Source organism: Homo sapiens, chromosome 1 (assembly GCF_000001405.40).
Source record: "Homo sapiens chromosome 1, GRCh38.p14 Primary Assembly".
Lineage (NCBI taxonomy): Eukaryota > Metazoa > Chordata > Mammalia > Primates > Hominidae > Homo > Homo sapiens.
Window position 1 is genome coordinate 156,028,474 of NC_000001.11, and position 25,326 is coordinate 156,053,799.

A 25,326-nucleotide genomic window follows, 5' to 3' on the forward strand; every position below is an offset into this window, starting at 1 on the left:
GGCAAGAGAATGGCTTGAACCTGGGAGGCAGAGGTTGCAGCAAGCCAAGATCTTGCCACTGTACTCCAGCCTGGACAATGGAGCAGGACTTCATCTCAAAAATAATAATAATAACCTCCAATCTGCAGTTAGTTTAATCTATGGATGTGGAACTCACAAATACAGAGGGCTGGTTGTATACACATTCATATATACTTCTTTTTTTTTTTTGAGACAGAGTCTCACTCTCTGTCCCCCAGGCTGGAGTGCAGTGGCACGATCTCGCCTCACTGCAACCTCTGCCTCCCGGGTTCACGCCATTCTCCTACCTCAGCCTCCCGAGCAGCTGGGACTACAGGTGCCCGCCACCACACCCGGCTAATTTTTTTGTATTTTTAGTAGAGACGGGATTTCACTGTGTTAGCCAGGATGGTCTCGATCTCCTGACCTCATGATCCGCCAGCCTCGGCCTCCCAAAGTGGGGGGGATTACAGGCATGAGCCACCGCACATGGCCTTTTTTTTTTTAGACAGAGTTTTGCTCTTGTTGCCCAGGCTGCAGTGCAATGGCGCCATCTCGGCTCACTGCAACCTCCACCTCCCGGGTTCAAGGGATTCTTCTGCCTCAGCCTCCTGAGTAGCTGGGATTACAGGTGCCTACCACCACCCCCGGCCAATGTTTGTATTTTTTTGTAGAGACAGGGGTTTCACCATGTTGACCAGGCTGGTCTGGAACTCCTGACCTCAGGTGATCTGCCCACCTAAGCCTCCCAAAGTGCTGAGATGACAGGCATGAGCCACCATGCCTAGCTTCTTTATGACTTTCAAAAGAAAACTAGAATCCAACCAAGAATCGCATATTACAGCATTGTATTTGACCAATAAAGTTTAGACTAAACCAAATGAGCTTCTCCCCTAGAGAGAGCATGGAGAAAAAGGAGAAATGCATGGTAGATAGAAGAACTTTGGCTACTGAGAGGATGAGTAGAAAGAGGAGCGGAGAAGGCTCAGAAAGAGCTCAAGCTCCTGAAACAGACTCTGAAGGGTCCTTTCTAAGTCCTGGGATCACTTGAAAATCTTGGACAGACCTGGCCACCCCAAGTTGAAAGTGGATGGAGGACTATTTTCTGCTTCTTGCCAAATTTCTCCCCAACACATGCAAATTCCAAGGTGGATTCTGGAATCTATACCTGCTGTCTTGATGTCTTTTGAGGTTTCATCCCATTTTCAGAATTTGACCACCGTCTCCTCTTCTCCCTTTCTATTAGCCCAGGTGGGAGCTGGGGGAGGGGTTGAGCAGGCCCAGCCTCCTCTTGCTGAAGAGTGACAAAGGAGTGTGTGTGTGTGTGTGTGTATGTGTGTGCAAGTGCGTGTGCGTGTGCATCTGTGTGTGTGCATGCATGTGTGTGTGCATGCATGTGCACATGTGGCCTCTCACATCCTTCAGAGGAGCCCTCCTTGAACCCATGGGCCCAGGACCCTACCCTCCTGTTGCTATGACAACCACTTCCGTGAGGACTCCGGGAGTAAAGAATTGTGAATGTGTGGTGAGGGAGGGAGGGGGACATGCCAGTCTCATGGCATTAGTGATCATAGAGCTCTATGATAATGAAGAAGAAAGAGAATGGGTCCAGGCCGGGCGCGGTGGCTCACGCCTGTAATCCCAGCACTTTGGGAGGCCGAGGCGGGCAGATCACGAGGTCACGAGATTGAGACCATCCTGGCTAACACGGTGAAACCCCGTCTCTACTAAAAATACAAAAAATTAGCCGGGCGTGGTGGCGGGTGCCTATAGTCCCAGCAACTCAGGAGGCTGAGGCAGGAGAATGGCATGAACCTGGGAGGCGGAGCTTGCAGAGAGCCGAGATAGTGCCACTGCACTCTAGCCTGGGCGAGAGCAAGACTCCGTCTCAAAAAAAGAAAAAAAAAAAAAGAAAGAGAATGGGCCTTTATCGACTCTCAAAGCCGGCAGGGTATGGGACACAGCCAGGAGCAAGGGCAGGGTGATTCCTGAAGTTCTGCTTGGTGTTTATTTATTTTACAGTGTCACTCTCAGGATATGGGCTGCTCCATTCTTTTTTTTTTTTTTTTTTTTTGAGACAGAGTCTCATGCTGTCACCCAGGCTGGAGTGCAGTGGCGTGATCTTGGTTCACTGCAACTTCCACCTCCTGGGTTTGATTGATTCTAACTCCTCCTGAGTAGCTAAGATTACAGGCGCACACCACCACACCCAGCTATGGGCTGTTCCACTCTTAATTGGACTCTCCACCTCTCCCTTAGGAGATCAAAGAAGCTTGGGGGGCTTCAGGGGAAGAAAATCCCTCCTTTAACAAATTTGCTGTATCCTTGACATCCATCAACAGCTTCATTGATGACTTGGGCTACCAAGGGAGTCAGGAGCTGACCAGTGTAAGTGCCCCACCCTGCATCCCTCCCACCCCTCAGGTCTTGCACCCCTGTTCTACCATCATTTGAGCACTTTAGCTCACTAAGAAATACTGTGGCAACCTCCCGTGCATTCTCTACATGCTTTTGATTCGTATCTTTACTAAAACATGGCTCAAATTTGCTTTGAGGCTGGACTCGGTGGCTCACGCCTGTAATCCCAGCACTTTTGGAGGCTGAGTTGGATGGATTGCTTGGGCCTGGGAGGTTGAGGCTTCAGTGAGCTGTGAATGCCCCACTGCACTCCAACCTGGGTGACAGAGGGAGATCCTGCCTCAAAACAAAACAGAATTACCACTTTCAGAAAAAAAAATTCCACCACCAATAATAATAGTAATATCAACAATAATAGTAATCATAGCTAACATTTATTGAGTACTTACCACATGGTATTTTGTAAGAATTTACATCTCATTTAACTATCATAACAATCCTATAAGGCAGGTGCTACTATTTTCCCCATTTTTCAGATGAACAAACTCAGGCACAGGCAGGTTGAATAACTCTCCCAAGACCGCATAAGTAGAAAGCAAAGATGCTAGAGTTTGAGCTCAGTTTGGCTCAAGAGTTCACACACAAAAGAACCACCTCCCAGTTAGCCACTCGATTCTTATTAGTCCTTCCTAATATCCTTTCAATACTCATATGCTCTTAAACGCACTTGGTATAGGAACTTCTTCTTTTTTTTTTTTTTTTTTTGAGATGGAGTCTCGCTCTGTCACCCAGGTTGGTGTGCAGTGGCACGATCTCAGCTCACTGCAACCTCCGCCTCCCGGGTTCAAGCAATTCTCCTGCCTCAGCCTCCCAAGTAGCTGGGACTACCAGCGCATGCCACCAGGCCTGGCTAATTTTTTTGTTTTGTATTTTTAGTAGAGACGGGGTTTCGCAGTGTTAGCCAGGATGGAGGAACTTCTTAATTGTCTGTTTGAGGGAGGGTTTAAATGCTAGCTGTTTTTTGCTTTTGAGCTCTGACACACAATAAACTGTACATATTTAAAGTGTACAATTTGATAAGTTTTGACATATATATATATACTCATGAAATCATCACCACAATGAAGATAATAAACGTATCCATCAAATATGAACAAGCAGGATTGTTCAAATATGAACAAGCAGGATTTCTAGAGCAGATAAATTAATGGGTGATTATTTGCCTTCCAAAATGAGTTTTTTTTTTGAGCTGGAGTCTTGCTCTGCCGCCCAGCGACTCTCCTGCCTCAGTCTACTGAATAGCTGGGATTACAGGCACGTGCCACCACGCCTGGCTAGTTTTTGTATTTTTAGTAGAGATGGGGGTTTCACCATATTGGGCAGGCTGGTCTTGAACTCCTGACCTCGTGATCTCCTTGCCTTGGCCTCCCAAAGTGCTGGGATTACAGGCGTGAGCCACCGCGCCCGGCCAAAATGAGTCTTTATTTAACCTAAATATTTGCATTACAACCCTTTGAAAAGAATGAGCATTTGGCCGGGCGCGATGGCTCACGCCTGTAATCCCAGCTACTTGGGAGGGCGAGGCAGGAGAATCACTTGAACCCAGGAGGTGGAGGTTGCAGTAAGCAGAGATCACACCACCGCACTCCAGCCTGGGCAACAAGAGTGAAACTCCGTCTCAGAAAAAAAAAAAAAAAAAGAATGAACGTTTAATGCATTCAGGATATGCCTGTGTATCCTTTGCAGATACTGCTTTGTAGCTTGTCTTTAGTATTTTAAGTGAACGTGTCTTCCGGGCCAGGACAGTGTTTTTTAACCTCTGCTGTCTGCTCAGTTCTCACAGAGAGATGGGCGCTTGGTTTAGGTTTGCTCTGTGATCTCCATGCTTCTCTGCGGCACTTCGCCTCTCCGCCAACGACAGAGGCGAAGTCCCATATGTAACAGGATGGGTCGGTGGAGAGCATGCTTCATTCCTTGCTCTTGGATTCCCCCAAGGAAGAAGATCCCAGCCTTGTTCAGACGAAGAGGCGGAAGCAGAACAAGGTTTGCATTCTCCAGATGAGGAAAAATGAGGTGAAAGAGGAAGACAAGGAGGACAAGGAGGATGAGGAAGAGGAGGAGGACCAGAGAGAGGGGCCCCCTACCTCTTTGCAATCACCTAGGACAGGACAGAGGCAATGCCCGTACTCAAGAATCCGCCAAGTGAGGCACAAGGAGCACCTGAGCATCTTGGAAAGTGGCTTGAGCTTATCCACCAATGAAACCAAGTTGTCTGTCCATGTTTTTGCCAATACTTATGTAGCTGCTGCCACAGGAAGCAGAAGTCAGTGGAGGAAAACAAGGCATCCGACTCTGGAGCAAGGAGGAGCCCGGGTGAGACTGACTCAGCTGTGAGCTTCACTAATGGGTGATGGTCCAGATCTCCACGGGGCTCCAAGGAAAGCTCTGGGCAGAAGCCAGAAGAGCAGAGTGTAATCCTTCCGCTTAGAAATAAAGCACATTTTATTTTTGTGAATGGCATGTGTGAGCCTGATGATTCCAGGTTTTTTTTGTTTTGTTTTGTTTTGTTTTTTTGCTAGATGTATTCAATCCCTGCCCCACTTTATCTCTCTGAACATCCCGTTTGCTTGCTCCTTCCTTCCTTGCTTGACCCCAGGAGTTTGAGACCAGTCTGGGCAACATGGTGAAATCCCATCTCTACAAAAAAATATAAAAATTAGCTGGGCATGGGCTGGGCGCGACGGCTCACGCCTGTGATCCCAGCACTTTGGGAGGCCGAGGCTGTCAGATCACCTGAGGTCAGAAGTTCGAGACCAGCCTGGCCAACATGGTGAAACCCCATCTCTACTAAAAACACAAAAAATTACCTGGGTGTCATGGCGGGCACCTGCAATCCCAGCTACTCAGGAGGCTGAGGCAGAAGAATCACTTGAACCTGGAATGGGGAGGTTGCAGTGAGCCGAGATTGCATCACTGCACTCTAGCCTGGGTGACAAGAGTGAAACTCCATCTTGAAAAAAAAAACCAAAAAAAAAAAAACAAAAACAAAACAAAAAAAACCACAGCTCAGCCTCTCAGCAACCTTTTCCTAACTGGCCTCCAGGTCAAAGGCAGCCAGTCTTTAGAGTTTCTTTCCCCTCTGGGTTCCAGTCAGTCTTACTCACTCTTTGATGCTTTTTCCATTTTTTATGTATTTTTCCCAGATTTTAAAATTTCTAGTGAGAGTATCGGTCTCAGGCATCTAGTATACCATTATCAAAGTGGAACCTCCCACTCTTGGCTTATTCATGTTCCACAGAACCGTAGTCCATAACTTCAATGTACAAAAGATAAAACCCCATAGGTGTGAAAAGACTTCCTCAAACTTACATGATTAGTGGTAATGCCAGGTTTAGTCTGAGCTCAAGATTAATAACTACCAAACTTCACTGGCATAAAACCTGACTGCAAGAGTTTTTGTTTTACTTTTTTTTTTTTTTTTTTGAGACGGAGTCTTGCTCTGTCGCCCCCAGGCTAGAGTGCGTGGCACAATCTAGGCTCACTGCAACCTCTGCCTCCCTGGTACCAGCGATTCTCCTGCCTCAGCCTCCTGAGTAGCTGGGATTACAGGCACCTGCCACCGTGCCTGGCTAATTTTTGTATTTTTAGTAGAGACAGGGTTTCACCATCTTGGCCAGGCTGGTCTTGAACTCCTGACCTCGTGATCCACCCACCTCAGCCTCCCAAAGTGCTGGGATTATAGGCGTGAGCCACTGTGCCCAGCCTTGTTTTACTTTTTAACCTAAGGTAAGGGGAGGGCAATCTTGCCAAAAGATCAGAGGATGGAGGCAATAATCTTACAATTCAGTTTCCTCTACCACACCTGACCTATGGGGAAGTAGGGGAAGAGATCTCAGATACCCAATGGTCTGATGGGGAATGGAAGAATGCAGTCCTCCCCATTCCCAAGTCATATATTACTGATACTTCCATCATCAGTTATCCCTTAACCTTCTATATATATATATATATATATATATATATATATATATATATATATAATTTTTTTTTCTTTTGAGACAGGGTTTCACTTTGTCTCCCAGGCTGGAGTGCAGCGGCGCAATCACAGCTCACTGGAGCCTTGACTTCTTGGGCTCAAGTGGTCCTCCTGCCTCAGCCTCCCATGTAGCTGGGACTACAGGCCCACACCACCATGCCTGGCTAATTTTTAAATTTTTCGTAGAGACAAGGTCTCCCTATGTTGCCAGGCTAAAACCTTTTAATATTTCTTGTTTTTTTGAGATGCAGTTTCGCTCTTGTTGCCCAGGCTGTAGTGCAATGGCATGATCTCAGCCACTTTTAATATTTCTTAACATCTGTAGTAACTGAACCAAACTTCAAATTCCTCTAGATCACAACTCTTGCCCTGGAAAACCAAGAAGTTGTTTTCAGCCAGCTTCTTCCTCAAAAAAACAAACGCCAACACACTCTCACAACAAAGACCACGCCATTTATTTACAAAGGCCAGTGTGGGAGCTGGGGGAGGCAGGGAGGGAAAGCCACACAGACATCTTCTCTGGACTGCTTGGGACCCTTTCCCACTTGGAGCAAACTCTGTTCCTCTTGCCGTCATATTCTCAGCCATGGGGTCGGTCCTCCAAGCAGCTGGGCCAAGTAGGAGAGGGAAGAGGTGATATGAGCCTCCTCTGTGCTCTGACAGAGAAATGTCCAATTCCAGATCAAAGGCATCATTGCCACCCTCTCCTCTCCTTCCTCAAAGAAAACTTTCTGGCCTGGAGGGAAATAGTTAAGAACTGAAAGGCCAGGGGCTCTGGAGGAAAAAAACCCTCTACTATTCCCACAAGGCAGTGAGGGGTGATAAGGGTGCTAGTCACAGCCCTGACAGCTTCAGAAAGGGTACCCACATTACCTCTGGGTTACCCAGCATCCAGAGCCCCAAGGGACCTAGCTCTCCCGGATATATATTCCTGCAATGGACTGACCTTTTTACCCACTTGTCTCTGGTGGTGGGAGAGCACTCTGAACCAGAAACCAACAAGGAATCCACTTCCCACCCAACTTAAGAGTGTATGCACACATGTGGATACACATGCACCTCCCCACTACTCACACAGACCCCAACCCCCTTCATGTCTTTTGAGGGGGGCTCAAACTACTGGTGCCTGGGGACACAAGCAAGACCTGGGTCCATGGAAATGTGTGTGTGTGTGCATATAAGCACATATGCTTGAGGAACTAAAGCCAATATGACCCCTTGTGGGGCGTGGCGCTTAGCTTCATTGGGCTCCTTTTTTCAGTTTAAATTCCATTAGCATCTCTAAGTCTCTTCTGCCAGCTCGGGCCTGGATTCTTCTGCCTAAAAGAGCTATGAGTGCTTCTGCTCCCCACTGTTAATTCCAACTTCCAAGCCTTTTACTCAGGCTGTCTCCCCCATTCCCTTCCTCCGAATAATCTCATTCCCTCCTCTTTCACACGAATTTCCTCTGGGCTGCTCCAGCGTTTGTTAATTCCTGTCCAGAGAGCTGTCTCATCTCCCTCTTCAGACAGGGAGAACAGGCATCTTCCTCCTTACCCTGGAATTTCCAACAGTTCCCACCAAAAAGTGCTGAATGAACCAGAATAGGGGCCGAGAAGGAAAATTACCACCTGTTTCACCTGCTCCTCCTTCAGAGCAAGAAATTCTAGCATTGGTTGGGCTAGGGGTTGGGGGGTAGGGAGAAAAAGAAGGAAGAGAGTTACCAAAAGTAAACATAAGACAAAACCCTAGTGGTATAGATGGAAGACTATGTTCCAGTAAACCAGAGAGCTGGTTCCTCCCTCGACTCTGCACAGCCACTGAAAGTTTAAAGATTGCAAAAGTGGTGTGGGGCAAGGAGGTAGAGTCAATCAATGAAACTGTGAAAACTGTTTAAGTAGCACTGCTCAAGGAGACCAGGAGAGAAGAGTCTGTTAGAGACGTAGCAGTAAAACCATAATTCTCAGACAGAGCTAAGGGGTTGGAGCCCATGCCTCTAAAGTCACCCTGCTGTTTGGAAAGGATGAGGGAGAAGACGGAAGGGAGGACAAGCTGCAGAGGGTAAGGATTGACAGAAGAACCGAATGCTGACATCGAGGGAGGGGAGAGGCAGGAGGCATGGGCCGAGGGATTAGGAGAGCTGGGAGCCCAGCAGTCTCTCGATAGCTGCGTTGATGTCCCCTCCTGTGGCAATCAGGGCCTGCAGGTTAGCCTCACGATTGATGAAGCCCATGGAGTTGAGCTGCTCCAGCTGCTGCTGAAATCTCACTTCTGGCGTCTGCACCTGGAGGGGACAGGCCTTGTGAAGTGGGCACAGGACCAATCTTGGGGGCCCTATTTGAATTAAGGGTTTCTAAGACCAGCAGGTCTTCTCTAATATCCTCAGAGTCAATCAGGAGGGCAGGGAAGATGAGCTGCAAATGGGGGCCCAGGAGCCTAGGTCCCAAGTCCTAAATAACTGTGTAATGGCCGGGTACGGTGGCTCACGCCTGTAATCCCAGCACTTTAGGAGGCTGAGGCGGGCGGATCACGAGGTCAGAAGATCGAGACCATCCTGGCTAACACGGCGAAACCCCATCTCTACTAAAAATACAAAAAATTCGCTGGGTGTGGTGGTGGGCGCCCTGTAGTCCCAGCTACTCAGGAGGCTGAGGCAGGAGAATGGCGTGAATCCGGGAGGCGGAGCTTGCAGTGAGGCGAGATCGCGCCACTGCACTCCAGCCTGGGCAACAGAGCGAGACTCTGTCTCAAAAAACAAAAACAAAAAAACAAACAAACAAAACTGTGTAATAATATGGCAGGCGGATATCTTTTTTAGATTTTCAAGATAACTGATAGGCCTAGATCAGCATATATTCCTCATTACTTTCCATAAACACTGGAGATGTTAACAGGCACTCCAAAAGCCAAATGTTCTATGGTCAAATAAGATGCATACTAAGCATGACCTCCAAGGCCCCTCCTAATAGTCATCACACGTACAGCCATATGAAAGGCTAGAGAAGGGTCCCAGTTAAGAAGCTATTTAATTTTGTTTCACTGATCAACAGTTATTTATAAAAGAGAAGTATTTCCTTTTTTTTTGAGACAGGGTCTTGCACCCAGGCTGGAATATAGTGGCAGAATCATAGCTCACTGCAGCCTCTATCTCCTGGGCTCAGGTGATCCTTCTCTCTGAGCCTCCTGAGTAGCTGGGGCTACAGGTGTGTACCACCTTGCCCAGCCAATTAAAAAAAAATTTTTTTTTGGCTGGGCATAGTGGCTCATGCCTATAATCCCAGCACTTTGGGAGGCCAAGATGGGCAGTTTGCCTGAGGTCAGGAGTTCAAGACCAGGCTGGCCAACATGGCGAAACCCCATGTCTACTAAAAACACAAAAAATTACCCAGGTGTGGTGGCGCATGCCTGTAGTCCCAACTACTTGGGAGGCTGAGGCAGAAGAATCACTTGAATCCGGGAGGCGGAGGTGCAGTGAGCTGAAATTGCGCCACTGCACTCCAGCCTGGAAGACAGAGTACATCTTAAAAAAACAAAAGTGCGTGGTGGCTCATGCCTGTAATCCCAGCACTTTGGGAGGCTGAGGCAGGTGGATCACTTGAGGTCAGGAGTTCGAGACCAGACTGGCCAACATGGCGATACCCCGAGACTAAAGATACAAAACTTAGTTGGGCATGGTGACAGGAGCCTGTAGTCTCAGCTACTCAGGAGGCTGAGGCAGGAGAATCGCTTGAACCCGGGAGGCGGAGGTTGCAGTGAGCCGAGACTGTGCCATAACACTCCAGCATGGGGGACAGAGTGAGACTCCATCTCAAAAAAATAAAAATAAAATAAAAAATAAAGAAAAAAATTTTTTTAGCAGAGAAAGGGTCTTGCTATGTTGCCCAGGCTGGTCTCAAGTGATCCTCCTGCCTTGGCCTCTCTAACTGCTGGGATTACAGGCATGAGCCACTGCACTAGGTCTTCTTCTTTTTTTTTTTTTTTTGAGACGGAGTCTCGCTCTGTCACCCAGGCTGGATGCAGTGGCATGATCTGCCTCCCGGGTTGAAGCGATTCTCTTGCCTCAGCCTCCTGAATAGCTGGGATTACAGGTGCATGCCACCAAGCCCGGCTAATTTTTGTATTTTTAGTAGAGACGTGGTTTCACCATGTTGGCCAGGTGGGTTTTGAACTCCTGGCCTCAAGTGATACACCCGCCTTGGCCTCCCAAAATGTTGGGATTACAGGCATGAGCCACCATGCCCAGCTTGCACTAAGACTTTTTTTAAAAGAAAAAAATTTTTACAGACTGGGTCTCCCCGCGTTGCCCAGGCTGGTCTCGAACTCCTGGCCTCAAGCAGTCCCCTGCCTTGGCCTCCCAAAGCACTGGGATTACAGGCATGAGCCACACTCCTGGCCTGGCTTTTTTTTTTTTTTTTTTTTTTGAGATGGAGTTTCACTCTTGTTGCCCAGGCTGGAGTAAAATGGCACGATCTCAGCTCACTACAACCTCTGCCTCCCAGGTTCAAGTGACTCTCCTGCCTCAACCTCTCGAGTAGCTGGGATGATAGGCATGCGCCACGACACCCAGCTAATTTTGTATTTTTAGTAGAGACGGGGTTTCTCCACGTTGGTCAGGCTGGTCTTGAACTCCTGACCTCAGGTGATCTGCCTGCCTCGGCCTCCCAAATTGCTGGGATTACAGAAGTGAGCCACCGCCTGGCTAGCTTGGCTTTTCATTCTTGTCATTCCTCTAATTATCTCCTGTAAATGTTTGCCCAAGGGGTATTTGGAAAGCACAAGCCTTGATTATGAACAAAAGACTCTTATAGTGGCCGGGTGCGGTGGCTGACGCCAGTAATCCCAGCACTTTGGGAGACCGAGGCAGGTGGATCACGAGGTCAGGCGATCGAGACCATCCTGGCTAACATGGTGAAACCCCGTCTCTACTAAAAATACAAAAAATTAGCCGGGCGTGGTGGTGGGCGCCTTTAGTCCCAGCTACTCGGGAGGCTGAGGCAGGAGAATGGCCTAAACCCAGGAGGCGGAGCTTGCAGTGAGCTGAGATCCGGCCACTGCACTCCAGCCTGGGCGACAGAGCGAGACTCCGTCTCAAAAAAAAAAAAAAAAAAAAAAAAGACTCTTATAGCTAGAAAGAGTCCAGCAAGCACCGTCCACCTGGTGTTGAAAGGAACAATGTTCGATCCAGAGAAAAGACAGGACTTGCCTGGGGTCACAGAGAAAGTCAGTCACTAAGGCCCCCTGACTTGCAGTATAAAAGCCCTTTCTGGACGGGTGTGGTGGCTCACGCCTATAATCCCAGCACTTTGGGAGCCCGAGGCAGGCAGATCACCTAAGGTCAGGAGTTCGAGACCAGCCTGGACAACATGGTGAAACCCCATCTCTACTAACAATACAAAAAAATTAGCCGGGTGTGGTGGCGCGTGCCTGTAATCCCAGCTACTCGGGAGGTTGAGGCAGGAGAATGGCTTGAACCTGGGAGGCAGAGGTTGCGCCATTGCACTCCAGCCTGGGCAACAAGAGCAAAACTCTGTCTCAAAAAAAAAAAAAGAAAGCCCTTTCCAGTGCTCCTTGTTGCTTCTTATCACAGTCCACACATTTTTTTTTTTTTTTTTTTTTTGAGATGGAGTCTCGCTCTGTCACCCAGGCTGGAGTGCAGTGGCGCCATCTTGGCTCACTGCAAGCTCCACCTCCCGAGTTCACCCCATTCTCCTGCGTCAGCCTCCTGAGTAGCTGGGACTGCAGGCACCTGCCACCACGCCTGGCTAATTTTTTTTTTTTGTATTTTTTAGTAGAGATGGGGTTTCACCGTGTTAGCCAGGATGGTCTCGATCTTCTGACCTCGTGATCCGCCCGCCTCAGCCTCCCAAAGTGCTGGGATTACAGGCGTGAGCCACCGCGCCCAGCCAGTCCACAGAATTTAACTTGGGTTGCACCTGGACTGGACACCACCTAGTTTAGCTCTCTCGTGCCTTGCACAAAGCTGGGTAAACATACATTTTGGTTGAATGGCTTTTCCAGATGAGTCACAGAGGTCAGAGAAAGGTTAAGAGGCTCACTCGAGGTAGGTCATCCCTGCCCCTCCTGCCAGCCCCTGGCCTTGACTTTCCCAGGGCTTTGGTTACCTCGCAGAATCCCCCTCCCCAGAGTCTCAGAGATGGGGGCTGCTTTAATTATCAAAAGGATCCTTTGATATAAGCAGAAATGGTATAGTGTAAATTCTGGAGGTGGAATGCCTGGGTTTGAGTCTTGGCTTCATTATCTACTAGCTATGTAAGTGAGTAAGCCACTTAACCTTTCCGGGCCTCAGTTTTCCCCATCTTTAACACAGAAATAATAATAATAGCTTTCTCATGAGGCTATTGTGAGGAATGTGGTAAATGAGTCGTAAATGAGCTCCAAAATCTAAAGCATTTAGAACAGTATGTAGTGCACGGGTAAGTACCATTACTCTTCTCATCTCTATTTCACATCTGCACAAACTGAACTCAGGGAGCATCAGTAACCTGCCCAAGGCTAGCAAGTGGCAGAACAGGACCTGACTCCCAAGCTTGCCCTACTGCCTCTATTCTATTGCTTCCCTTGAAACCTCCCAGGATCAAAGTGGTGCTCCCAGCACCTGCCCCCACTGCCTCATGTACCTGTGAGTTTCCACTTCCAGCCAAAAGCTGGATCATCTGCTGCATGAGTTGCTGCTGGGCGCTGGAAGCCCCTGTTGGAGAAGATGTGGCTGGCGTGGCTGGTGAGGAAGTGGGGGCCTCGGGCGTAGACCCTGCGTTGCTGCCTGCTGAGGGTGCTGGGGTCCGGGATATCCCAAAGGAGCCAAGGCTGTAGGCAAGAGAGACCAAGAGGTAGGAGATGGCATCCAAGAAAGGGATGAGAATGTGAGATCCAGAAGGAAAAGCAGTTGGAAGAAACAGGAAAACAGACCCTCAGAGACACAAAGGATGCTGAGAGAGTGGCAGAGAGAAGAGTTGAAGGGGAGAAGTTGCTAGAACCTTGCTGCCCTCCTGCCCCCCTACCCTCACCTGGGTACCAGCCCAGGGGCCTCGGTCTGCAAGGTCTGTAGTCCCTGCTGGATCTGCAGCAATGCCTGCATGGCTCGGGGATTGGTAAGGATGGAGAGTGACTCTGGGTTCTGCATCTGGTGGGAAATAAGCAGAGAAAGGCATCAAGAGGTGGCAGGAAAGAGGAGACAACCTCAACTAGGAGTCCAGAGTCAAGCTCTGCCCCAACTTCATTTCCACCCATTGGGCTTCAGGGACTACCCCTTGCCCTCAACCTCCACCCATCTAGGCTCCTCACTCACCTGCTGCAGGAAGACTGGGAGCTGCAGGCGGAGCTGCTCCTGCAGTTGGGGGTTCCCCGCGAAGAGCGGCACATTCACCATCATCTGCCAGGGTGAAGGTAGCAGGGGGAGACCTGGGCCTTTTCACCCTAAGAATTCCCCCACAGCCTCAGACTCCCTGGGCACCCCCTACCACTGCAGGAAATCTGGCCAGCTTCTCCGGGGATCTCAAAGTATCCTGAAGGCCTAAGTGGGACAGTGAGAGGAAATGGAACTATGCTCTGGGTAATGAAGAGTATGAGGAGTCAGCCTGCTCAGCCCTGGGTCTGATGATGATGAGGACAGCTAACATTTCCAGGTATACAGAACTTACTCTGTCACACGCCATGTTCTAAGCACTTAACGTGTATTAACTCATTTAATCCTCACAACTATAGGAGGTAGGAACTATTGTTATTATCATCTTACAGATAAAGAAACTGGGAGGCTAAATAACTTGCTTAACTCACACAGCTGGGAAGCAGCAGAGCTTGGGATGCAAACCCAGGCAGTCTGGCTCCACAGTGTTTTGACCACAAGAAACTGCCCCCAACCAAGAGGAACTCTCTCCCCAACAATACTCTCCTCATGCTGGTTTCATACCTGAGCAGCAAAGTCGGGGTTCTGGGCAAGCGTCTGCATCATGCTGCGCATGTAGGGTGCTGAGATCACATTCTGCATCAGCTGGGGGTTCTCAGAGATCTGCTGGAGGAGGGCTTGCATTTCTGGGCTATTGAACATCCCTAGGACAAGGCGGAAAAAAAGAAAACAGGAGAGAAAGGGTCCAGATGGAAACCGAAGGCCTCACTTCAATCTACCTTACTTCAGACACCGAATGACTACAAAACTCAGAAAAGCAATGGTCCAGTGGGCACCCTAGGATTGTGGCATGAGTCCAAGTCTCTCCCAAGTCCAAGGTCATCTTGCCCTGCTTTGGCCTGGCCCCTTTTCCATTTACTTGATAAGGACAAGCCAGCTAGGAACTGGGTCTGATTTATGCCTCTCTGGACTGTTCCTGCCATAAGCTCAAATTATGTCCAATTTGGAAAGAAATGATTAAATATCATCTAGATCAAACTTGTCTTAGCAGCAGAGACCCTTTCCTCATGCTAAATCTCACTCAGAAACCAAGTGTGTTAATGGTCTGGCTGGAGCTGGGGCAGGAGGGCTGCAGCCTCTCCCATTGGGTCCTTCCTCATCCTGGAGATGAAGACCTTTCCAGGATGCAGGAGCACAATTTTAAAATCATGGATCAAGTTCCAGTCCTTACTTTACAAATAAGGAAACTAAAACACACAGAGGGAAGGAACTTTCCCAATCAAGATATCCCCCAGAGTGCAGAGAAATTAGAGCATCTGCTGAAGACATCCCCCAGGCCATGTGTACAGTCATAGTCCAGATAAATGGAGCATCCTCTAGGGTTGTGCAGTGCATAACCTGTTCTTCTGTACATGGCAAGCCCTGCACATCCCTTTCCCCCAGCCTCACATCTGCCTCTCCCCAGGTCTGCCTTGATTCCTCTCCAGCCCCCTCTCCCCACAGCAGTCTGAACCTTTTACACTGGATAATACCAGAGGTGCTCATGGAGCTTAGGAAGTGGGGCCTGGTTTACTCATGAGCTATTACTTAGGTCACTCCTAGGGATATCAGGACATGGCCAGAACCAGCCCTCACCCGGCCACTATCCCAGACGGCAGAGCCCCCTCTGTGGCCTCGATAGTCTCACCTCTGTCTTCAAAATCCTGGAGCAGTATGAACCCCATTCAGTCCTGGGACAGAGGGGCTGCCCTGGTGACCCCACTAAGCTCCTTCCATCCTAGGACATACCTGACCCCAGGCTAGCCGCATTGATCCCAAAGGGGTTCGAGACTGTCGGGTGCACCTGGCTGGTCCCCGATCCTCCGGTGCCCTCCCCACCGGACCCGGGGGCCTGGGAGGTGGGGGGCGAGGGGCTCCAGGGGTTAGGGAGGGGCTCTCGATTCTCAGTCCGCAGAGGCTGGGAGGATGAGCTGTCGGAGTTCCCGGCCAGGGAAGAGAAGGGATTGTTGCCAAACTGGGAGGAGGGAAAGGTTTTGGGTTAAGGACTGAAACAAATCAGGGACAAGGGCTAGGCCCATTCTCTCCTCTCACTTAATAGCCTCCCCTTCCCCAGAAAAGGGAGAGAGATCTAAGACCTTAGAGGTCCTCAGTTCAGTTCTTTGCCCCACAATGGATAGCTCCTTCCTTGCTCCATAGGGTGGGAGCTAGCTGATGCTAGTGACTGGATAACTGAACCTCTCAGATAATTGGAAACTTCCCATCCCCCCGGTGGCTTTCAATATTTGGTCTCTAATCATCTCCTATGTAACCCACCGCACTTTACACACAGTTTTCCCATTGTGTAGCCAAATATTTGTGTTCCTGTACCTCAAGGGGCAGAGGCAATGTCAGATTTGCCTGTGCACCCCCAGCCCCGACACTAGTAGGTGCTCAATAACTAACTACTGGCTTAATGGGAGTGGGCTGTCAAACCTGGCTCTCTACTTGAACCCCGATCTTCCCTTTCCCCAGCCTCCTTGGACTAATCCTAACTCCCCAGAACCTTTCCCTCACTCCCCAGGTCCCCTACCTGGCATTCTCTGTCCATCCAGGCACACCACAGTGGCGGCCCCTAGCAGAACACACCTCCAGCAGAATATGCCCTCTCTAGGTTTTCCCCTCCTGCTCCAAACCCTACCTCTACACACTGGCTACTTCAGATGGACAGGCCTCAGTTTACTTCTGGTCCCCCTTGCCCTACCATGCTCCTCACTGTGCTCCCCAGGATATCTCAGGTCCATACCCCATGGGATGGTGTGCTTCCCAAAGGCAACACCGGAACCTCCTCCCCTCCAGCACCTAGCACAGAGCTCTGGCTGAGGGAGTCCCAGACTCAGTTTTCCCTACTCAGCCTTTCTTGTGGTCTAAGAGCTCAGCAGCTCTCTTTCCTGAGTTCCCAGGTGGTCCTACCTCAGCCCCTCCCCACCGTAGGGTTTCATATTGAGCTGCTTTTCCTGTTCATTGAAAGTGGGTCATGGGGACCGGGGCTAACCAAGGATTCTCCTACTCTGAGCTGTTTCCTTCACCTCACCAGATCCTGTTCAGATAACAGAGCTCACAGGCCAGGGTTCATGCACCATGGTTTCAGCCTCTGTGCCTGTTTCAGATTTCTTGTTCTGATACTTGCCTAGCACCTCACCCCACCTTGTTCTGGGCTCGCTTTATTCTTCCTGGTACACTCTAAGGACGAAATCTCTTTTCCTGAACTACCCACAGTGATAACAACCATCATTTATTGAGCACCTACTATGTGCCTGACACATTTATTCTAATGCTTATAATACTCCTCTAATACAACAGTTCTCAAAGTGTGGTCCTGGGACCCCTGCAAGCATTAAAACTGTTTTCATAATTCTAAGACATGAATTTGTCTTTTTCACTCTTATTCTCTCATGAGGATACAGTGGAGTTTTCCAAAGTCTACATGACATGTGACATTGCAAACTGAATGCAGATCTGAGAACCAGCTGTCTTGTAGTAAGCTAGACATCAAAGAGAACTACAAAAATGTAAAACAAGTCCATACTTTCCTCTACAGTTTTGTTTGTTTTGGAAAATAAAGTTATTTTTCAAAATAATGTTATTTATGTTAACTTGTAATAATTTTTTTTTTTTGAGATGGAGTCTCGTTTTGCTGCCCAGGTTGGAGTGCAAAGGCACAATCTCGGCTCACTGCAACCTCCACCTCCAGGGTTCAAGCAATTCTCTTGCCTCAGCCTCCTGAGAAGCTGGGATGACAGGCACCCACCACCACACCTGGCTAAGTTTTGTATTTTTAGTAGAGATGGGGTTTCGCCATGTTGGCCAGGCTGGTCTCAAACTCCTGACCTCAGGTGATCCACCTGCCTCAGCCTCCCAAAATGCTGAGATTATAGGCATGCGCCACTACGCTCCACCAACTTGTAATAAATTGTCATTTTTAAATGAAACAAATATTTTAAAAGTTTGTCAGTTTTAGGCCGGGCACGGTGGCTCACGCCTATAATCCCAGCACTTTGGGAGGCCGAGGTGGGTGGATCACCTGAGGTCAGGAGTTCGAGACCAGCCTGGCCAACATGGTGAAACCCCGTCTCTACTAATAATACAAAAAAAAAAAAAAAATAGCTGGGCATGGTGGCGGGCGCCTGTGGTCCCAGCTACTCGGGAGGCTGAGGCAGGAGAATCACTTGAACCCGGGAGGCGGAGGTTGCAGTGAGCTGAGATCACGCCATTGCACTCCAGCCTGGGCAACGAGTGAAACTTCGTCTCAAAAAAACAAAACAAACCAAAAACACAAAACATTTTTAAAGGTTGTATTAAAAAAAAAAAAAGCAGCCAAGTGCAGTGGCTCACACCTGTAATCCCAGCACTTTGGGAGGCCGAGGCAGGCAGATGACAAGGTCAGGAGTTCGAGACCAGCCTGGCCAATATGGTGAAACCCTGTGTCTGCTAAAAAATACAAAACTTAGCCAGGCGTGGTGGTGCAAGCCTGCAGTCCCGGCTACTCAGAAAGCTGAGGCAGGAGACTCGCTTGAACCCAGGAGGTGGAGGTTGCAGTGAGCTGAGATCGCGCCATTGCACTCCAGCCTGGGCGAAACAGTGAGACTCTGTCTCAAAACAAAAGCAAGTTAAAATAATAAGACCAGCATGGTACCACCTCATATTTAAAAATATGATAATATATAGACGTTTATAGACATATACATAGGTAATAAAAGAATCAGAATGATAAACCCCAACTTCAACTTCAGCATACTAGTTACCTCTGGAAAGAAAAAGAATAGGAGAGGGGAGGGGTTTGTAAAGGCTACAACTCTACCTATGTCTTATTTGCAAATATTAAATATGTCTAGGAAAATAAACAAGATACTAACAACATTAGTTACCACTGAGGTAGAAAAGAGCTGGCTGGGAGATGGAAACAGAGGGATCCCTTCTGTAAACCTTTTTTTAGCCTGTATACTTTTCCATACTTTTTTGGAATACCCTTTTGTTTACTTTGTGTAACTTGTGAATTTTTTTTTTTTTTTTTTTGAGATGGAGTCTCACTCTGTCGCCCAGGCTAGAGTGCAGTGGCACGATCTTGGCTCACTGCAACCTCTGCCTCCCGGGTTCAAGCGATTCTCCTGCCTCAGCCTCCCAAATAGCTGGGACTACAGGCATGTGCCATCATGCCCGGCTAATTTTTTGTATTTTTAGTAGAGATGGGGTTTCACCATTTTAGCCAGGATGGTCTCGATCTCCTGACCTCGTGATCCGCCCACCTCAGCCTCCCAAAGTGCTGGGATTACAGGTGTCAGCCACTGCGCCTGGCCAACTTTTGCATTTTCAAACATACAAACATAGAATGTGTTTAATGTAAAATTAAATTTTTAAAAAGAACCATGGCCAGGCGCGGTGGCTCACTCCTGTAATCTCAGCACTTTTGGAGGCCAAGGTGGGCGGATCATGAGGTCAGGAGATCAAGATCATCCTGGCTAACATGGTGAAACCCCATCTCTACTAAAAATATAAAAAGTTAGCCGGGCGTGGTGGCATGTACCTGTAGTCTTAGCCACCAGGGAGAAGGCAGGAGAATTGCTTGAACCCGGGAGGCGGAGGTTACAGTGAGCCGAGATTGCGCCACTGCATTCCAGCCTGGGCGATAGAGCGAGACTCCATCTCAAAAAAAAAAAAAAAAAAGAAAGAAAGAAAGAACCAAAAGGGCACTGAAATTATATATGGCAACATGTTAGGGCAACATTGATTAAAAACAAAAAAAAAGAATGTTACATTTTTATCTATTTTTTTGTGTGTACTTGAATAGGATTCATAAAGCATTTTTAAAAGTGTATAATCCTGGGGCCCAACCCCAGAAATGGATTCAATAAGTAGCTCAAAGGTGGGGACCAGGATTCTCATTATCAACAAGGTCCCCAGGTGATTCTGATGCAGGTGATCCATGGACCATACTTGAGACATGCTGTATCAGGGCTGGCGTCTGACCTCAGGCCTGCCACGTGACCTTTGAGCCCCTGGTACAAGAAGTTTGTCAGGATGTCAAGTTCCTTGGATGCTATGCCTCAACCACTTCCACAAGGACCTCTGCTTATATTTGTCCATGCCAAAATGGACCATCCCCGGATATGTACTGTTGAGAACTGCCTTCAAGCCAAGGCCCACCCCTCAGGGGACTGGGGAAAGAAAGAAGAGCAGGCCCAGGTTTGCCTGGGGTGGGGGTAGGGAATCTCGAGCCCAGACAGCCCAACCCACTACCCTGGCCCTTGATCCCACCTGTTCCCGGGCAGCACTGAACATGGGCTCCTGGATGTCCGTGTACATGCGGCGGAGGGCATTATACCCTCCAGGGATGCTCTCAAGGTTGCTCAGGGCCCGGTCCTGGTTCCGCATCATCTCTTGCATCATGGCTGGATTCCGAGCAAGCTCCATTGTCTGATCAAGGGAGAGAGACAAAATGGGCCCCGGAACCAGGGGAGCACCAACCTAGGAAAAGGGTGGGCCTTGAGGAAGGGGGGTCTGTATCAGGATCAGGACCAGGGCCCAGGAACTGCCCCACAGTGACAGGGAGTAGAGTAAACTGGACTTCCTTCCTCTACTGTAATCTTGGCTCCAAGCCCGCCTCCCTGTGGGTATTTTGGTTGGCTTTTTCTAGTGGAGGACAATGATCCCAGCTGAAGTGAGGGCAGCAGCTTCCCTCCCTTAGGCTCAGAGTGTCCAAAGAAGTGTCAGGGTGCACAAGGAAACTGAGTCAGAAGAGACACAGAAAGAAAGGGGAGGAGGCAGAAGAGAAAATTAACATCTACTGAGAACCTACTGTATATGGGCACAGGGCCAAGTAGCTTACGGAATTCAAGTCATGTAATCTCCACAATAACCATCTCAGGTGTTTATTTCTGTCCCTATTTTGCAGATGAGCAAATAGGCTCAGAGATGTTAATTGACTTGCTGCCCTGGGACACACAGTCACTGAGTGGTGAAGACAGTGTTCAAAGCCAGGTTGGTTGGTCTGTCCAAGACCATACTGTGATTCCTGGTAAATGACTGCAAGTTGGGGAAGGAAAGCGTTCAAGCTGGAATAAAGCTACTGACACCCTGTAATTCCCACCCCCAAGTCTTTGCTCTGCCTGAACCTTGAGAAACACTGAAGATGGGGGCTTTCTTCTATGGAGCCAATGGCACAATCTCAATAAGGGGTGGCTATGTCAACCCCGGGGGAGTTCATCACAGAAAAATAAGTATAACTACTTGTTCCCATTCAACTTGGAATACCTTCCCTCTCCTTCCCAAATGTGCTCCACACTTGCCTTTTCTAAGACTCCTTTATAACTGATATGCCCAGCTTCCCAGAACTCTGATCTCTTGTTCCGTAATTCATTCATTCAATAAATATTTACTGCATGACTACCACGCACCAGGCACTGTTCTAGACAGTGAACAAAACACTCACAAGTCCTTGACCTTACATAAATTATCTTCTGGTGAGTCCAGCACTGGTGTCCACAGCCCTGCTGGGAAGATCATCTACCTTGGTCCTCTGGTGGAGCGGACCATGAGCTGGAACTCCCAAAGAGCAACATCACAACAGTCTCCCCTGGTTCTCCATTCCCAACTGGGCCCTGCCCAGCCACAGTGCTCCCCAAACAACCTACTATCTTTCACTCCCAGGCCTTTATATTTGCTGTCCCTCAGCCCTGAATGTTCTTCTTTCTTTCCCCCTGGTTCGTCTTCCTCCTTTGGGTCTCAGCTCGGTGACATTTCTTAAGGCCTCCTCTAAGCCTTAGGGTAGGGTCAGGAGCTCTTCTCTATGCTCCTAGAGGATCCCATGATTATCCTTCTGATAGCAATGGCCACATTGTATTCTAATTGCCGGTTTACTTGTCCTACTTCCCTTTGACACCTGGAATTCCTGAAAAGCTAGGCCTGTCTTTTCATCCCTGTACCTCCAGTGTTCAAAACTGCTGAATACACGAATGAACAAATCAATGTAGGACAAAGTAGGAAAGGCTGGGCAGGGCACGGCTGGGCACCAGTGTCCTCCAGCTCTCCAGCCCTCTCATACTCACCTGCCTCATGAGTTCAGGGTTATTGAGCATGTGGCTGATCTCAGGGTTCCGCTCCATCAACTGCTGCATCTGGGGGTTGGCCATAATCATGTGACGCATCAGATCAGGGTTAGACATCATATCCTGGACCAGGGGGTTCTCCATGATCTGTGACAGCATCTCAGGATTGGACATCAGCTGCCGCTGCATCTGCTGCTGCAGCTCCATGAAGTTGGCAGAGCCCAGGCCTAGGCTGCCCAGCCCCAGGATGCCCCCAAAGCCAGCTGTGGGAAGGGGGCAGGGTCACAGTCTGCCACAAGAACAGTGTCCTCACTTAGCCAGAGCCACTGAATTCAGATCTCCAGGACACGCCCCAAATGCTTCTCACATGTCCCTCTTCCTGTCATTCCCACAGCCCGGCCCTGATCCACTGCTGGCAAAAAAATGTGAGCCTACTAGACTGAGGCTGTGCCAAACATAGAACTGAGCAGAGAGAAGGCAACCAGCAATGGTCTGTTGAATGAGTGGCCCATGTGGCTACTGCTGGATCCAACTTTTCCCCAGACTCACAGGGTCTTCCATTCCCTTTACCTAGGGTTCCCCACATCCCCAACCCCATTTCTCCCCTCACTCCTAACCCTTAGCCATGGTCCCCACCTCTGAGAACTCCTCAGACTAGTTTCTTCCCCAGCTTGACTCAAGTATCAATGTCTGGAACTCTGTCATGGGGTCCCCTATCCCCATCAGACCAGGAGCAGGAACTCCTGTTTCTCCCTCCTCTTGGCTTTCCCCAACTCCCCAACCCCAAACAAGATTGTGCTCTCCTCTCTGAGGGCTTACAGAGTATGGACGCAGTAGCACTGGGGGATCCCTCCCCAGCCCCCGGAGAGGGCCCCCCACCACTGCTCCTCCGGCTTCCACTGCCAGCATCTGAAGAGGCACTGCCAGAGGTGGAGGGCTGGGCAGGGGTGGCGGGTGAAGCAGGCGTGGTGGAGGGTGCTGAGGCAGGGTCAGGTGTGGAGGGGGAAGAAGCAGTGGCAGCAGCTGGATCTTGAGCCCTGAGGACAGAGAAAGGAGAATCCTGTTGGAGTGAGCACTAGAAGAGGGAAGGTACCGTGACAATCTCTGTGCTTGCTATGGGACAACTATTTTAACCCAAGACCCCTCCTGAGCAGTCCTGAGGCTGGAGTGGGGTGATGGCGGGAGGGCAGTCAGTAAACCAGCAGAGGGAGAAAGGAGCTAGTATTATCTGTCTTCAGGGCATTCTGGGAATGGTAAATCAGGTTCCCTTCCCCTAGAGATGAGATCATATTCATCCAGGAGCTACCTGCCTGGGCCTCAGCTTAGGCCCTCTGGGTACAGTTAAGCAATGAGTGAGAAAGTATCAGATGGGGAGGCCCAATCAGAAGCTGGATCTGCTCTGCTCCTGAACTTACTTCTGAGGGGTCTTGATGACCAGATGGACAGTGAGCCCGTCCTTGATTCCGTGCTGGTTCAGTGTGTCCCCATCCTTGAGGATCTTGCCTGCGAAGATCAGGACCAGCTGATCCTGCTGAGCCTTAAACCTCCGGGAGATTTCCTCTTTGAACTGTGATCAAGAGGCAGAGGTCACTGTGGAGGCTGCCTGGACTCCCCCTACCAGGGACCCTGACTCTTTTTCAACACCTTCTGCACTCTCTTGCTCTCATCTCTAGTCATGGGAAGTCCTTTCTGTAGTCTCGACGCCATTCCTCCAGCTGCAATAAGCATCTCCTTTCTTAACAAAGGAGATGAACCAGTGAGAGGCTCTTCTCTCAGCTCCATCCCAGAGTCTCCCACCCTAGAAAGCCCCTGCTGCTATCTGCCTCCCAGCTTCAGTCCCTCCACCTAGTTCTCTGTAAGGCAGAGCAGCCTCCCATCCCAACTCCTTCAACAGCTTTGGACCTTCAGCCTTCTGAGACCCAATTTTCTCTCCTCTCTATTCCCAGTATTCTCTTAACAACTACAACAAATAGATGCCAGTTATTGAGCACTACCTATTCACCAGTTAAAGATATAGTATATTGTTATTTTCATTTTATTATTATTTTTATCTTGAGATGGAGTCTCGCTCTGTAGCCCAGGCTGGAGTGCAGAGGTGCGATCTTGGCTCACTGTAACCTCCATCTTCCGGGTTCAAGTGATTCTCCTGCTTCAGCCTCCCGAGTGTCTGGGACTACAGGCACACACCACCATGCCTGGCTAATTGTATTTTTAGTAGAGACGGGGTTTCACCATGTTGGCCAGGCTGGTCTTGAACTCGTGACCTCAGGTGATCCACCAGACTCAGACTCCCAAAGTGCTGGGATTACAGGTGTGAGCCACCACGCCCAGCCGTATCTCCATTTTAAAGATGAGAAAACTGAGGATCAGCGAGGTAAGGTAACTTGCCCCAGGCAGACCAGAACTCAGGTCTTGACACCAAAGTCCAGGCTCTTAACTAAACACACTGCCTCTCAATGAGAGCCGTTTTCAAATTCAGCTTTGTAGGGAACATACAGTATTTAAATTCTGAAATTTAGTAATTCTATGTGGTTAGGGAGGGAGCAAGGATGGAGTTAGACTTCCCAAATTCTACCAGCCCCTCCAAAACACAACACAAAACAAAACACAACACACACTTTAAGTAAAAACAGTGCACTTGTTAAGCAGAGGCTGCTTCCAGATCCCTCTCTTCCAACCAGATGGCCTATCTTAAGCCCCGCCTATGTGAAATTATGGAGCGGCCACAGGGGGTGGCGAACACAGGCAACAGTCCGTCATTCAACAAGATTTTATTGAGCACCTACTGCACACCGTGTAAATCTCAGAAGAGCTGAGAACCAAATGTAACCACGTCGATTTGAAAGAGTGGGAAGGATCTGGGCACAGGGAAATCCTCCCCCGACAGCCCCGTCGCTCAGAGAACACTGGGCGTTCTCTGAGGCACAGAGTAGGCGCCGGCGCTCTCCGCCTGCCCCCGGCCCGTTCTCTCAGTTAGCACCTAGCCCGGGCCCCCACTCCGGCACACTCCCCTCAAACCCAGGGTCCTTCCCCCTTCCCGGTGCAAGGTGTCCCCTCCTCACTCTCCACCACGCCCCCAGGCCACAAGGCAAAACCCGCCCCTCAACACGCGCCACGCTCCCCCAGATCTCCCCTCGCAGGGCGCCCCCTACCCGCCTCTCCTTGCCTTCAGCTCCTCGGAGTCCCAGCCGGCCCCCGCCCTCCTCTCCGGGGCCCTCCGGGACGCCGGACCGTCAGAGAGGCCCCCCATCTCTTCGCAGACCCCTCCTCCGCGCTCCCCCCGCCCCCCGCCTGCTGTACTACCTCCTTGACCGAGGCTCGATCGCAGATCACAATTTCCTCCTTGTCCTTGGGGGTCTTGACGGTGACCCGAATGGGGGGCCTCGTCTCGGCCCCGCTCGGCTCCGCCATGCCGCCGCCGCCACCCGGCCGCCCGCCAGCCCGCCCGGCTCCTCCTCCTCCCCGCCCGCCCGGCCGGCCCGGCTCGGCTTCTGCGCCTCCAACACTCC

General features: G+C 49.7%; 1 protein-coding gene and 1 long non-coding RNA gene across 8 annotated transcripts in view, besides 3 other annotated features; one reads left to right on the forward strand and one right to left on the reverse strand.

Annotated features, from left to right (window-relative positions):
* Positions 1-4,873, forward strand: part of LOC105371729 (uncharacterized) — a 12,494-nt gene extending 7,621 nt beyond the window's left edge. The window contains exons 2-3 of one of the 2 annotated variants that reach the window (XR_001738249.3): positions 2,260-2,388; positions 4,354-4,873. This is a non-coding gene — a long non-coding RNA (uncharacterized LOC105371729). The remainder of the gene's footprint in view (positions 1-2,259; positions 2,389-4,353) is intronic. The other variant, XR_007066652.1, reaches the window with a different exon arrangement.
* UBQLN4 (ubiquilin 4) lies at positions 2,774-25,325 on the reverse strand. Of its 6 annotated transcripts, none has more exons than XM_024448469.2 (11): positions 25,121-25,325; positions 23,233-23,384; positions 22,637-22,854; positions 21,818-22,080; positions 20,028-20,186; positions 15,525-15,750; positions 14,301-14,440; positions 13,680-13,763; positions 13,399-13,514; positions 13,012-13,198; positions 2,774-4,803 (listed from the first exon to the last, which is right to left on the reverse strand). In XM_024448469.2, exons 1-11 carry the CDS (start codon positions 25,226-25,228, stop codon positions 4,759-4,761), a joined length of 1,698 nt encoding a protein of 565 aa, XP_024304237.1. In that variant the 5' UTR covers positions 25,229-25,325; the 3' UTR covers positions 2,774-4,758. The 6 variants fall into 6 exon arrangements, 5 of the variants coding, with proteins under 5 accessions (XP_024304237.1, XP_047281622.1, NP_001291271.1 ...); XM_047425666.1 differs by lacking the exon at positions 2,774-4,803 and adding an exon at positions 6,826-8,657 and having other exon boundaries at positions 23,233-23,320; NM_001304342.2 differs by lacking the exon at positions 2,774-4,803 and adding an exon at positions 6,826-8,657 and having other exon boundaries at positions 22,697-22,854.
* Positions 24,271-24,992: an enhancer, noted in NCBI's record as "H3K27ac hESC enhancer chr1:156022535-156023256 (GRCh37/hg19 assembly coordinates)". NCBI's record gives its function as "activates a minimal SCP1, AML or CMV promoter by ChIP-STARR-seq in naive H9 embryonic stem cells {active_cell/tissue: H9 hESC(naive)}" and the evidence as "EXISTENCE:reporter gene assay evidence [ECO:0000049][PMID:30033119]".
* Positions 25,068-25,117: a silencer, noted in NCBI's record as "silent region_1415". NCBI's record gives its function as "represses an Ori minimal core promoter by ATAC-STARR-seq in GM12878 lymphoblastoid cells {active_cell/tissue: GM12878}" and the evidence as "EXISTENCE:reporter gene assay evidence [ECO:0000049][PMID:35858748]".
* Positions 25,208-25,267: a silencer, noted in NCBI's record as "silent region_1416". NCBI's record gives its function as "represses an Ori minimal core promoter by ATAC-STARR-seq in GM12878 lymphoblastoid cells {active_cell/tissue: GM12878}" and the evidence as "EXISTENCE:reporter gene assay evidence [ECO:0000049][PMID:35858748]".

What these genes read in the sequence shown, in the direction of transcription:
- UBQLN4 (NM_020131.5), bottom strand. Translation starts at nt 25,228, where the DNA reads ATGGCGGAGCCGAGCGGGGCCGAGACGAGGCCCCCCATTCGGGTCACC. An exon ending in ATCGAGCCTCGGTCAAGGAG is followed by an intron (nt 23,385 to 25,120) that starts GTAGTACAGCAG and finishes TCTTGATCACAG; the next exon opens with TTCAAAGAGGAAATCTCCCG. An exon ending in TCAGTGCTGCCCGGGAACAG is followed by an intron (nt 15,751 to 20,027) that starts GTGGGATCAAGG and finishes CCCTCCTCCCAG; the next exon opens with TTTGGCAACAATCCCTTCTC.